Raw genomic sequence first — 15708 nt, 5'->3', positions numbered from 1 at the left:
GGGAGATATACCTAATGCTAGATGACGAGTTAGTGGGTGCAGCGCACCAGCATGGCACATGTATACATATGTAACTAACCTGCACATTCTGCACATGTACCCTAAAACTTAAAGTATAATAATAAAAAATAAATGAATAAATAAATAAATAAATAAATAAATAAAAGAAGCCATTCTGGGCTCGGTGCGGTGGCTCATGCCTGCAATCCCAGCACTTTGGGAGGCCATGGTGGGTGGAACACAAGGTTAGGAGATCAAGACCATTCTGGCTAACATGGTGAAACCCCGTCTCTACTAAAAATACAAAAAATTAGCCGGGCTTGGTGGCACATGCTTGTAGTCCCAGGTACTCAGGAGGCTGAGGCAGGAAAATCGCTTGAACTGGGGAAGTGGAAGTTGCAGTGAGACGAGACCGCACCACTGCACTCCAGCCTGGGCGACAGAGCGAGACTCCATCTGACAAAAAAAAAAAAAAAAAAAAGAAGAAGCAGCCAGTCTGAAAAGATTTATATATGGCGTGATTCCAACTATAGGACATGATATGGAAAGAGCAAAACGTTCAGTAGTTGTCTGAAGTTTGTAGGGAAAGAGGGAGGGGTGAATAGGTGGAGTATAGGGGATTTTAGGGCAGTGAAACTATGCTGTATGATACTGTAATAATGAATACCTGTAATATATTTGTCAAAATCCATAGAAGTGTAGAATACAAAGAGCAAACCGTAATATAATCTGTGAAATTTAGTTAATAATGATGTGTCAATATTGGCTTATCAATTGTGATAAGTGTACCACACTAATGCAAGTGTTAATAATGGAGGAGGAGAGTGTGGGGGGGTATTTGGAAATTCACTGTACTTTCCACTCATTTTTCTGTAAGCCTAAAACCCTTCTAAAAATCCTCTATTAATTTTGAAATTAAAAATTAATTGGCTTTACTACAATATCTATTTTTGAGATATTTGGTGTTGGTGAAGTAAACTTTCATGCATTCCACAAATTATGAGTGCCTGCTATATTCCTGCACCATTCTCTCTGTTCCTAGGTTTTTTCATATAAAAAATGGGGACAATAATAGCAACCATCTCATAAGTGATGAGAAGCACTTTAGACCATTTGAGTTAGCATTCCCTTCTCTGTTCTTAGTGTTCACTGTGTTTACTTCTGTTATGGTTCTCCTGATAACCCAGTAATTATCTGTTCATCTGTGTATTTTCATTAATCTGAGAAGTCATTGATATATGTGATAGAGCCTGTGTCACATGTGACTTTAAAATTTGGCATACAGCCTAGAACCTGGTGTCTAGCAGGTGCTCAATAAATACTTATTGTATGAATGTGGATGATTCCTATTCTGATCATTGCCCAATAAAACATAGCTATTATTTTATGAGCTATTTATTAGTTGGAAAAATTCATGATAAATTAATGAATACAGGCTACTGCTGTCCTCAGATTATCTTTACTTGGAGAATGTTTTTGTAGTTGATCATTGCTGTTTTCAGGAACTTCTAGTACCAGTACATTCTGGACTTCCTGGACTTTTTTTTTTTTCCAGATGGAGTTTTGCTCTTGTTGCCCAGGCTGGAGTGCAATGGCACGATCTCGGTTCACCACAACCTCTGCCTCCTGGGTTCATGCGATTCTCCTGCCTCAGCCTCCCCGAGTACCTGGGATTATAGGCATGTGCCACCACGCCCGGCTAATTTTGTATTTTTAGTAGAAATGGGGTTTCTCCATGTTGGTCAGGCTGGTCTCAAACTCCCGACCTCAGGTGTTCTGCCTGCCTTGGCCTCCCAAAGTGCTGGTATTACAGGCGTGAGCCACCGCGCCCGGCCTACAGTTCCTTTTTAAAGTCCCTTTTCATTGATGTGTTATGCCTCCAAGAGGAGATCATGAAATCCCTGATGATGAAAGGCCATGTTTCATTGATCATGGTATGTTCAGGGTACAGATTACTTCTGGAAATACGGTGTGCATAATCGAGTGTTTGATGTTTTAATAAATTAATATATTATAGACTGCAGACAGGAAAAGCAATGGATGCTACTTTTATCGCAACGTTTATATGGCTTTTTTTTTTTTACAAAAAGCTGTACATATTTAATGTACACAACATCATGTGTTAAGAGACGAGTATACACCCATGAAATGATCACAACATCATCACTCTCAATGCCATAATCTTATCTTTCACCTCTGAAAGTTTCCTCCTGCCCTCTTTGTTTTTTTATTTTCCTTTTTGTGGTGAGAGCACTTAATGAAGATTTACCCTCTCAGCAAACTTGAGTATAAAATCATAGGTTCTGTATTATACACTAGACCTACAGATGTTATTTATTACACATAACTGAAACTTTGTATCGCTTAACCAACACCCCACCTGCATTTCTCCCTTCCCTCAGCCCCTGGCCACTACCATTCTACTATCTGCTTCTATATGGTTAACAATTTTAGATTTCACATACAGTAAAACTGAGATCATGCAGTATTTGTCTTTCTGTGATCTGACTTATTTCACTTAGCCTAATGTCCTCCAGGTACACAAACAGCAGGATTTCCTTCTTTTATAAGGCTGAATAGTATTTCATCATCAACAGACACTGAGGTTGTTTCCATATCTTGGCTACTGTGAATAATGTTGCAACAAACATGGGAATACACTCATCTCTTGGAGATCCAGATTTCGATTCCTGTGATTTCGATTCCTATGCAATTTTCTTAACACCATGTATCAAAGAGACCATCCTTCCACATAGTGTAGTCTTGGCACCCAGTAGATTTATTTTTGAGCTCTCTATTCTGTTCCATTGTTCTATATGACTACTTTTATAACAGTACCATACTGTTTTGATTACTGCAGCTTTGTGACACATTATGGAATCAGGGAGTGTGATAACTCCAGCTCTGTACTTGTTCAAAATTGTTTGGCTATTCAGGGTCTTCTGAATTTTAGGATTGTTTATTCTGTACAAAAATGCCATAGAGATTTTGATAGAGATTGCATTGAATCTTCAGATATTTTGGGAAGTATGGACATTTAATAATATCAATTCTTCTCAATACATGATCATGAGATGTTTCCATTTATTTCTGCTTTTTAAAAATTATTTGTCAATGTTTTGTAGTTTTCAGTGTACAACCCTTTTACCTCCTTTACCTACATTTATTTGTTTTTATTTATTTATTTATTTTTGAGATGGAGTTTCACTCTTGTTGCCCAGGCTGGAGTGCAATGGCACAATCTTGGCTCACCACAACCTCTGCCTCCCAGGTTCAAGCAATTCTCCTGCCTCAGCTTCCCTGAGTAGCTGGGATTACAGGCATGGGCCACCATGCCCAGCTAACTTTGTGTTTTTAGTAGAAACGGGGTTTCTCCATGTTGGTCAGGCTGGTCTCGAACTCCCAACCTCAGGTGATCTGCCCGTCTCAGTCCCCCAAAGTGCTGGGATTACAGGCATGAGCCACCATGCCCAGCCACCTGCATTTATTTCTAAGTATTTTATTTGTTGTGCAATTGTGAGTCAAATTGTTTCCTGAAATCAGCTTTACAGATAGGTCATTGTTGGTTTATACAAATGTAACCACGGATTTTGGTATCTGTGAGGGTCCCAAAACCAATTCCCCATGAATACTGAGGAATGACTGTATTATGTTAAATAGGAGAGCCAAGAGTGGGCATCTTTGTCTTGCTTCTCATCTTAGGAGTAAATCTTTCAGCTTTTCATCATTGAGCATCATGTTAATTGTGGGATTTTCCTCTATGGCCTTTATTATATTGAGGTAAGTTCTTTCTAAACCTAATTTGTTGAAAATATTTAGCATAAAGAGGTGTCTAATTTTGTCAAATGTTTTTTGTGAATCTGTTGAGATGACCATGTAATTTTCATCCTTCATTCTATTCATGTGGTTTATCACACTGATTAATTCGCATATGTGGAACGATTCTTGTATCACAGGCATAACTCCTATGTGGTCATGGTGTATGAGTCTTTAAATGCATTTTTGTATTTGGCTTGCTAATAATATTTTGAGGCTTTTTGCATCTATATTCATCAGGGATATTAGTCTGTAGTTTTCTTTTCTTCTGGTGTCTTACTCTGGCTTTTGTATCAGGGTGATGCTGGCCTCATAGAATTAGTTTGTAAGTATTCCCTATTCTGTTGTTTAGAAGACTTTCAGTAAGATTGGTATTAATTTTTTTAATGTTTCACAGAATTTATCTATGAAGCCACCTGGTCCTGTATTTTTCTTTGTTGGGACATTTTTGATTATTCTTTTAATGTCATTATTTGTTTTTTGGTATGTCTGGGCTTTATATTTTTTATTGATGCAGTCTCAGTGGGTCCTATGTTTCTAGGAATTTTTCAATTTCTTCTGAGTTATCCAATTTATTAACATTTAAATGTTCATAATAGTTCCTATAGCTCTCCCTACCCCCAGCCATGGGATGTCTCTTCTTTCATCTCTGATTGTATTATTTGAATATTTTCTTTTTTGTTATTAGTCTAGCTAAGGGTTTGTCCATTTTATTTATCTTTTCAAAAAACTCTTCGGTTTTTAAAATTTTATTAAATTGTTTTTCTATTCTCTATTTCATTTACTTCTGCTATAACCTTCATTATTACTTCCTTCTGCTAACTTTGACTTGCTTGTTCTTCTTTATCTAGTTCCTTGAGGGAGAAAGTTAGTTTACTGGAGCTCTTTCCTTTTTTTTCTTCTTTTAATAAACCATTTATTGTTATAAACTTCCTTCTTAGTGCTGATTTGGCTGCATGTTATGTTTCACTGTGTTGTGTTTTGGTTTTCCTTTGTCTCAATATATTTTCTAATTTCATCTTCAATTTCTTCTTTGACATAATAATTGTTTCAAAGCGTGTTATTTAATTTCCATGCACTTGTGAGCTTCCTCATTTTCTTTTTATTACTGATTTCTAGTTTCATTCAGTTGTGATCAGAAAAGATACTTAGATTGATCTCAACCTTCTTAAATTTGTTAAGACTTGATATGAGATTCTACTATGAGATATCTTGGAGAATGTTCCATGTGCATTTGAGAAGAATGATTATTTTTGCTGCTGTTGGGTGGAATGTTCCTTATATGTGTGTTGGGTCTATTTTGTCTATAACATTGTTCAGTTCTATATTTCCTTGTTGATCTTCCATCTGGAGGAGAAAGAGGTTCTGATGTTCTAGTGTCCAGTAGGGTGACGATAGTTAACGATAATATATTCTATATTGTAAAATAGCTAGAGGAGAGTATTTTGAATGTTCTCAATACAAAAAATAATCAATATTTGGTATGATGTATTTGCTAATTATCCTGATTTAATCATTACACAATGTATACATATATCAAGACATCACATTGCACCCCATAAGTGTGTACAATTATTAAATGCCAACTAAAAATAAAATAAAACTTTAAAAAGAAAATCTTATGTCACTTCTAAAAATACAAACACTTAGTATTATGTGCTAGTGTAAGAATTTTAGAAATTAATTTAATAAAATATAAAAATATAAGTTTAGATACTAAGATTGAAATATAAATAATAAATCATTATTTTTCCTTTCATTAATAATTATATAAATGCTATGCTAAGTAAGTTTTATAACTGTCTTTTAAATGTTGTACCACTCAATTCATCTTGGTCACTATCAGTTGCCTGTTTGCGATTCTGGAAGCACAAACTTGTGAAAAAGAACAAGCTTTTCAAGTTTGACAGACTGAGCCTGGGCTTTAATCCTAATACCTGCAATCAGTTGCTATCCAACCTTATAAAATATAAAAACCCTAACTACTTTTCATTGCAGAGGATGAAATTAACATGGAAAGCAACTAGCATACTGCCTAACAAACAGCAAGCATTCAAAAGTACCAGCTGCTATTATTGTTCAATAAATCAGCTGAATAACATTAATGTTTTCAGATTTGAGCTTTACACTACATTTTTTACACGGTACCTCAAATGTTTGAATCCCTGTTTTGCAGGTGAGAACACTTAGTCTCATAGACATTAAGTGGCTTATTTTCTTGAGGTTTCGACTTTCTAATTTCTCACCTCAACTCCCAGCCTGCATCCCTTTCTAATTCCAGACACAGAAAATTCCTCCAGGTCCTCTGAACTTAACAAGCCTCCTCTCACCTCCATAGCCACTCCCTCCTTCAAACACACACATGCTGGGTAATTTTCTATTTGTTAATCAAGCTTTACTTTCTTTACCATCTTAAGTTTTCTGTATCCCCTTATTTTCTGTCTCTGTGCACCAGAATGGAATGTTGATAAGAGGAGGTTATCCATCTGTTGTACTCACTGCTGTATCTCCAGAACCTGTAAGGCCTATATTGAGCAATCAATAAATAGTTGTTGAATTAATTACCAAACCCTTGAACCAGTCTTGCATACATAGTTTGGCACATATGGGACTCCCATTTGAACTCTGGTAAACATGGAAATCAGACAAGTTAATCTTACTGGGAAGGCTCAGTATCTAGAGAGGCCAATACACCCAAAGCTACTAGAGTCAGGGCAGAATGGAATTCTGCCTCCCTCTCTCTCTTACTAAAATAGTAGTATGACCTTGGGCCAGGCATGGTGTCTCAGGCCTGTAATCCCAGCACTTTGGGAGGCTAAGGCAGGCAGATCACCTGAGGTCAGGAGTTCGAGACCAGCCTGGCCAACATGGTGAAAGGCCGTCTCTACTAAAAATACAAAAAAGTTAGCCTGGTGTGGTGGTGGGTGCCTGTAATCCCAGCTACTCGGGAGGCTGAGGCAGCAGAATCACTTGAACTCAGGAGACAGAGGTTGAAGTGAGCTGAGATTGCACCATTGCACTCCAGCGCCTGGGCAACAAGAACAAGACTCTGTCTCAAAAAAAGAAAAAAAAAGTTGTATGACCTTGGGCACGCTTCCCTACTTCTCTGAGTCTCAGTTTCCTTCTCTCATTAATTATCCTCACGACATATTTGAAATTATTAATACTTTCATTCATTCATTCAGCAAACATTTATTGAATGTCTCCTATCTACAGACACCATTTCAGGCATTGGGGATAAGTTGGCAAATAAGTCACAACTATCAGCTCTCAGTCTAATGAAGTACACAGACAAGTAACTATTTATGGAACAGTGGATTTGCGGCTATGATAGGGGAAATATGGGGTTCTGGTAGCAGGGGTTGTAGGAGTAGTTGCTGTTCTTCACTTAATCTTTTTTGTTTCAAACAGTGAAGTCCTGCCAGTCATCAAGGCCTAAGGCCTGCCTGCTTCTGGAATCATTCCCCCATATTGGTACTTTCTCAAGCTCTGTGATTCTGCAGATCTTACTTTTGCTTGACAAGGCTATAAGTGTAAACTTGAAATTTTTCCTAGAGGTAAAACTTATTCACTGTCAAGGGTATTTGATAATAACAAAAATGGTGATAAAATAGCTCCCACTTATTTTCAATTGGTCTTATGGATTCTGATTTTATTAATTGGGTCACAACCCGTTATTATTATGATTATTACTCATTCTCATGTTCAAATGGTCAAATTACCAAAATTACTTTTGTGCCATGAACAGTGCTAAATGCTTTCAATACCTTATTTTATGTTTTTATTTTTAAATTTTATTTATTTATTTTTTTGAGACGGAGTTTCACTCATGTTGCCCAGGCTGGAGTGCAGTGGCATGATCTTGGCTCACTGCAACCTCCGGTTCCCGGGTTCAAGCGATTTTCCTGCCTTAGCCGCCCACGTAGCTGGGATTACAGGCATGCTCCACCATGCCAGGCTAATTTTGTATTTTTAGTAGAGAGAGGGTTTCACCATGTTGGCCAGGCTGGTCTCAAACTCCTGACCTCAGGTGATCCGCTCACCTTGGCCTCCCAAAGTGCTGGGATTACAGGCATGAGACACCACGCCTGGCCCAATACCTTATTTTAAACCTCGCAACATACCTAGACAAAAATCCTATTTTTATGTGCATTTACACACTGGGTAAATAGAATTAAGGAAAGTTTGGAGGGTTTCAAAGTCATATTGTCAGTAGAGACAGGTGATTCAGAGTGCAGACTTGCTTGTAAAAAGCATTGTACACTAAAATAAACTGAGGCTTTTTAGAGAAATGTCTGACTCAAGGGCTGGAACAGGGAAAGTACAAACAGGCAGGAACATCTTGTTGCACTAGAAAGTAAAGAAAGTGTTCCAGCTAAGATGGATATATGACAAAAAGGTACAGGAAGTTTCAAGGCACTTCAACTAGCCAAATGCTGGCCAATTTGAGTATCAAAATAAATTTTGATGGTAATCTATCATTACCCAGTGATTAAGTATATACCCATGAACCTATAATGATATAAGTAAATACATAAATAAGTAAATAAATGAAGAAGTTGGGTGTGATGGTTAATATTGACTGTGAACTTGATTGGATTGAATGATGCTAAGTATTGTTCCTGGGTCTGTCTGTGAGGGTGTTGCCAAAGGAGATTAACATTTGAGTCAGTGGGCTGGGAAAGGCAGACCCACTCTCAATCTGGGTGGGCACCGTATAATCAACTGCCAGTATGACTATAATAAAACAGGCAGGAGAAGATGGAAGAGCAGACTTCCTGAGTCTTCTGGCCTTCATCTTTCTCCCCTGTTGGTGCTTCCTGCCCTGGAACATCAAACTCCAAGTTCTTCAGCTTTTGGACTCTTGGACTTACACCACTGGTTTGCCAGGTTCTCTCCCGTCTTTGGCCACAGACTGAAGGCTGCACTGTTGGCTTCCCTACTTTTGAGGTTTTGGGATTCAGACTGATCCACCACTGGCTTCCTCAACTTGCAGACCGCCTATCATGGGACTTTACATTGTGATCGTGTGAATCAATTCTCCTTAATAAACTCCCTTTCATATAGGCATATATCCTATTACTTCCATCCCTCTAGAGAACTCTGACAAATACAATGGGAAAACTCTTCATGACAGTACAATGCCAACTTATTAAATGTTGAAAGGCTCTCATGACTCCTGTGTTCATTGCAGCACTATTCAAAACAGTTAAGATATGGAATAAAACTAAATGTCCCTCAGCAGGTGAATGAATCAAGAAAAGGTAGGAGATAACGGAATTCTATTGAGCCTTAAAAAAGAAGGAAATCCTGCCTGAGCATGATGATGCATGCCAGTACTCCCAGCACTTTGGGAGGCTGAGGTGGGAGGATGGCTTGAGCCCAGGAATTCGAGAACAGCCTGGGTGACATAGTGAAACCCTGTCTCCACAAAAAAATAAAAATTAATGTGGCATAGTGGCACATGCCTTTGGTCCCAGCTACTCAGGAGGTTGAGTTGGGACAATCCCTTGGGTCCCAGAGGTCAAGGATACGGTGAGCCATGATCGCATCACTGCACTGCAGCCTGGGTGACAAAGTGAAACCCTGTCTCTAAAAAACAAAAACAAAAGACATCCTGTCATTTGCGACAACCTGGATGACATTGTGTAAACGGAAGTAACCCAGGCAGGGAAATACAAAGACCGCATGATCTTATTTATGTGAGGAATCTAAAAAGGTTGAACTCGTGGAAGGAGAGAGTAGAATCCTAGCTACCAGGAAATTGAGAGGAGGTGGTTGGTGAGCAGTTCATCAAGGATCCAAATTTTCAGTTAGATAGGAGGAATAAGTTCAAGAGACCCACTGTACGTTATGGTGACTATGGTTAATAACACTGTATTGTATTCTTGAAAATCACTGAGAGTAGATTTTGTGTTCTCCCCACAAGAAATAATAAGTATGAGAGGTAATATATATGTTAAGGAGCTCATTTTAGCCATTCCACAATGTATACATATTTCAAAACATCATGTTATACATGATTCATATATATGATTTTTATTTGTTGATTAAATAAATAAATATATTTTTAAGTAGGAAAAGAAAGTGTTATTATAGAAAGACATCATTTTCCAACAGTTATGCATTAGTGGACTCAGGCAGAAGTATTAGTGGATGACAAGACAGGATATGTCCACAGTATCCAAGTATCTCACCACAGAATACTTCAATTTCAAAGAAAATATAGTAACTTTACTTGACATAACCTGCTGAATACAACATTAATTAAGTGATTAAATTTGACATTACCAGTTATGGAATAAATAAGTACTTTGCCAACAGATGTAATGCATTGAGAAGAAAATACTATCATTTTGTGCTATTCCAGACAAAAATGTATAAATTGAATCTAATCATGAGGATAGAAAACCAGGCAAACCGAAATTAAAGGACACTCTAGTAAATAGCCCACACATTAAAGAACTGTTTTGGTCATGAAAGACAAAGAAAATCTGAGGACTTGTTCAAAACTAAAGAAGACTATAGTGAGTTAAAATTATAAAAAATAAAAATAAAAAAGACTAAAGTGAAGTAACAACTACATAAAACACATGACACTAGAGGGATCATAGATCAGAAAATTAGAAAACTCTGTAAATGACATTATTGGGATAACTGGTCACTTTTGAATAAAATTTGTACATGAGATAGATAATAGTATTGTTTCAATGTTAATAAAGATAACATTTTGATAATTATACTGTTTATGTAAGACAATGTCCTTATTCTCAGGAAATAACACTGAAGCATTTAGGAGTAAAAGAACATGTCTCTAGCTCACTCTCAAATGGTTTAGAATACATATATGAAAATGTGTCTGTGCTTATGCATCTGTGTATTGAGAGAGACAGAGACAGAGAGCAAGTGTAAAAATATGTCAAATGTTAACTGTGGAGGTATTAGGGAGAAGTACAAAAGGAGGTTCTTTGTCTCATTCTTGCAACTTTTTTTGTAAGCAAGTTTGAAATTATCTCAGAAAAAAAGTACCTCCCCCAAGGAAAGTAATGTGAGCTCTGAATAACAACTAGAATAAATTTGTGGCTACTTCATTTATCAGCTGTGTGATAGCAGAAACATTATGAATAATTTCTGAATTCAAAGTTTTTGATCTGTAAGAAAGGATAATCATTGAGCTTGCCTATGTCCTAGGGCCATGGTAAGGATTAAACGAGATGATGCACATGTTTTCAGCAATATTTGGACAGGGCGAATACACATTAAAAGTTAACTCTCATTGATTTTTAAATTCTTTCTTGTTTATAGAGGACAACATTTGATTAGACAGTTCTGGTTCCAAGGACTCAGGTCTAACCATGTCTCTGAGGTGCCTACCAGAGGTAAGATTCTAAGTTTTGAGAGTCATATAATTAATTACTCAACAAAGGATACCTTTCATCCTTATTAAAATTATTGGCCCAAACATTTCTGATCTTAATATCTAGTCTCTTACCATTCCACTTAGCTGCCTATGTGTGTTCCTGGAGCCAAATATCCTCACTCTAACATCTAGAGTGTACTAAGGTGCCTAGGCTTCTATATGAGCTAAATATATATGTTCAGTGGGAATTTAATTATTTTCAGCCTTCCTTCTGACTAGCCCAATGTACCATAGTAAAATATCTGCCATTCATTTAGAGGCTACAATATACCATGCACAACAATCCTAGGGAGCAGCTTTTAAATCTCTCTCTCTTTTCAAAGTGAATACACAGGCTCAGAAAGGTGCAGAGACTTTCCCAGAGTTACAGAGCCAATAAGAGGTGGTACATGGAATGCCTCATTGCAATACCCATGGCCTTGCTGCATAACTGAACTATATTCAGTTCTAACACTGTACACTATTATTAGGCACTATCTTTTCAACTAGACTCTAATCTCAGTGAAGGTAGACAGCACAATTTAGCTCTCATGGATACTCCAGTACTTTCTTCACTCCTAAGCACACAGTAGGTACCCAAGGAATATCTGTTGTCCCTTTAATGTGGAAAGAGAGTTTGCTTTTAAACATTTCTGAAAGCCTCCATAACCAAGTTAAATAAGGTTATTATTTAAATGTACTGTAAAAACTCTGAGCAGAGATGTGATTTTATAAAACTGTGACAAACTGAACAAGGTACTTTAGTTGTTTACATAGGTGGCAAAGCTATAATGAGTATCAAACCTCTAATGAGCAGCAAAGTAGAGATTCTAAACAATGAGCAGGATGGTGGGAACCTCTATTGAGGAGATAGACAGTGGTGGTTAGGGATGCGGACATAATGGGTTCCAGGGTTTTATCAATATTTGATTTCACTGTTTTGGGTTGTGGTTACACAGGTTTTCACTTTATAATTATTCATTATTTATCTTTGTATATCCGTTTTATGCACTTTAAGCTGAAACCAAGAAAAAAGAATAAGATTGATTCCAGGTCAAAGAAACACTAAGATTTGAATAAAGGTATTAATATGGCTACATGAAGAATGTATCAGTCAGGAGGGGGTTTGTCAGTCATCCGTGAAAGGAAATTCTGGAAATACCCACATAGGCATTGTGTGGGAAAAACAAGTCTCTACATGATTTCTGGTCCCACTGTCAAAGCATTACCTAGTATGAGATGGAAATATTGAATGATGCTAGTCTCATACCATTAACAGACAAAAATGTATCCATGCAAGATGTCAGCTCTTTCCCATCTTAATTACCTTAAACCAATTAATAACCTTAATCAAACTGATTAATTACCCTAATCTATTTCTTTTCATTTTGTAACATTTATGTTCCAGAAATCAGCTCATTTTCAGGTTCATACACACACACACACACACACACACACACACACACACACACACAAGCACACACATCCAATCACACCAGGGCACTGATGTGTTTCAGTGGACATTGTGATTGACTCCCCAACATCCATTCTGTCTCCTGTTTATCTAAGCCAGTCAATATTCTTGAAATTCACTGGTTTTGAAATGGGCACGTGACCTAATTCAGTCCCATACGTTGGAGTTGACTGTGGGGATATCTTCTGGGAAGTACTATGTCATGGGTCTTGTCTCTTTGAAAAGGCACATTGGAAGATATATTCCTTTCTGTCTGTAAACATTACCATGCCCAGATCAGAGACCTAAAAGTGCTTCAGCCGTCTTGAGACCAGCATGTTAAGGACACTGAGAGTGGCGAAGAAGAGAGGAAAAAAATCTGAACTCTTCATGGCATCCTAGAGCCAGAGTTCCCCATGTATGGAATCCACCTACTTTTGACTTCCAGTCTGGTTTGGAAATAGACCAAATATTTAATGAAGAATAACTAACTACGGGCACGATTGAGGGCCCTAAAGATACTACAGCAAATAAAGCAGAGAACTGTGTCTACCCTCATGGAACTCATATTTCCATGTAATTATACAAACAGTAAATAAAATGAATAATTACATCCTACTGTATGTCAGAAGATTATAACAGCATGGAAAAAATTAGAGGAAGTTAAGAAAGATCTGTAGGAAACAACAGCTAGGGGGAGGAGCCAAGATGGCCGAATAGGAACAGCTCTGGTCTACAGCTCCCAGCGTGAGCGACGCAGAAGACAGGTGATTTCTGCATTTCCATCTGAGGTCCCAGGTTCATCTCACAAGGGAGTGCCAAACAATGGGCGCAGGTCAGTGCGCGCACTGTGAGCGAGCCGAAGAGGGCGAGGTATTGCCTCACATGGGAAGTGCAAGGGGTCACGGAGTTCTCTTTCCTAGTCAAAGAACGGGTTGACAGATGGCACCTGGAAAATCGGGTCACTCCCACCCCAATACTGCGCTTTTCCAATGGGCTTAAAAAATGGCGCACCAGGAGATTATATCCCGCACATGGCTTGGAGGGTCCTATGCCCACGGAGTCTCGCCGATTGCTAGCACAGCAGTCTGAGATCAAACTGCAAGGTGGCAGCGAGGCTGGGAGAGGGGCGGCTGCCATTGCCCAGGCTTGCTTAGGTAAACAAAGCAGTGGGGAAGCTCGAACTGGGTGGAGCCCACCACAGCTCAAGGAGGCCTGCCAGCCTCTGTAGGCTCCACCTCTGGGGGCAGGGCACAGACAAACAAAAAGACAGCAGTAACCTCCGCAGACTTAAATGTCCCTGTCTGACAGCTTTGAAGAGAGCAGTGGTTCTCCCAGCATGCAGCTGGAGATCTGAGAACGGGCAGATTGCCTCCTCAAGTGGGTCCCTGACCCCTGACCCCTCAGCAGCCTAACTGGGAGGCACCCCCCAGCAGGGGCAGACTGACCCCTCACATGGCCGGGTACTAAAACAGACCTGCAGCTGAGGGTCCTGTCTGTTAGAAGGAAAACTAACAAACAGAAAGGACATCCACATCAAATACCCATCTGTACATCACTATCATCAAAGACCAAAAGTACATAAAACCACAAAGATGGGGAAAAAACAGAGCAGAAAAACTGGAAACCCTAAAAAGCAGAGCGCCACTCCTCCTCCAAAGGAACGCAGTTCCTCACTAGCAACGGAACAAAGCTGGACGGAGAATGACTTTGATGAGCTGAGAGAAGAAGGCTTCAGACGATCAAATTACTCCAAGCTACGGGAGGACATTCAAACCAAAGGCAACGAAGTTGAAAACTTCGAAAAAAATTTAGAAGAATGTATAACTAGAATAACCAATGCAGAGAAGTGCTTAAAGGAGCTGATGGAGCTGAAAACCAAGGCTCGAGAACTACGTGAAGAATGCAGAAGCCTCAGGAGCCGATGTGACCAATTGGAAGAAAGAGTATCAACGATGGAAGATGAAATGAATGAAATGAAGCGAGAAGGGAAGTTTAGAGAAAAAAGAATAAAAAGAAAAGAACAAACCCTCCAAGAAATATGGGACTATGTGAAAAGACCAAATCTATGTCTGATTGGTGTACCTGAAAGTGACGGGGAGAATGGAACCAAGTTGGAAAACACTCTGCAGGATATTATCCAGGAGAACTTCCCCAATCTAGCAAGGCAGGCCAACATTCAGATTCAGGAAATACGGAGAACGCCACAAAGATACTCCTCGAGAAGAGCAACTCCAAGACACATAATTGTCAGATTCACCAAACTTGAAATGAAGGAAAAAATGTTAAGGGCAACCAGAGAGAAAGGTCGGGTTACCCTCAAAGGGAAGCCCATCAGACTAAGAGCGGATCTCTTGGCAGAAACTCTACAAGCCAGAAGAGAGTGGGGGCCAATTTTCAACATTCTTAAAGAAAAGAATTTTCAACCCAGAATTTCATATCCAGCCAAACTAAGCTTCATAAGTGAAGGAGAAATAAAATCCTTTACAGACAAGCAAATGCTGACAGATTTTGTCACCACCAGGTCTGCCCTAAAAGAGCTCCTGAAGGAAGCACTAAACATGGAAAGGAACAACCAGTACCAGCCACTGCAAAATCATGCCAAAATGTAAAGACCATCGAGACTAGGAAGAAACTGCATCAAATAATGAGCAAAATAACCAGCTAACATCATAATGACAGGATCAAATTCACACATAAGAATATTAACTTTAAATGTAAATGGACTAAATGCTCCAATTAAAAGACACAGACTGCCAAATTAGATAAAGAGTCAAGACCCATCAGTGTGCTGTATTCAGGAAACCCATCTCATGTGCAGAGAGACACATAGGCTCAAAATAAAAGGATGGAGGAAGATCTACCAAGCAAATGGAAAACAAAAAAAGGCAGGGGTTGCAATCCTAGTCTCTGATAAAACAGACTTTAAACCAACAAAGATGAAAAGAGACAAAGAAGGCCATTACATAATGGTAAAGGGATCAATTCAACAAGAGGAGCTAACTATCCTAAATATATATGCACCCAATACAGGAGCACC

General features: G+C 38.6%; 1 annotated feature.

Annotated features, from left to right (window-relative positions):
• Positions 13391–13891: an enhancer, noted in NCBI's record as "H3K4me1 hESC enhancer chrX:51260667-51261167 (GRCh37/hg19 assembly coordinates)". NCBI's record gives its function as "activates a minimal SCP1, AML or CMV promoter by ChIP-STARR-seq in primed H9 embryonic stem cells {active_cell/tissue: H9 hESC(primed)}" and the evidence as "EXISTENCE:reporter gene assay evidence [ECO:0000049][PMID:30033119]".

This window comes from Homo sapiens, chromosome X (genome assembly GCF_000001405.40).
Source record: "Homo sapiens chromosome X, GRCh38.p14 Primary Assembly".
Classification (NCBI taxonomy): Eukaryota; Metazoa; Chordata; class Mammalia; order Primates; family Hominidae; genus Homo; species Homo sapiens.
The sequence above is the reverse complement of the archived record's forward strand: the minus strand, read 5'-3'. Positions and strand labels throughout refer to the sequence as shown.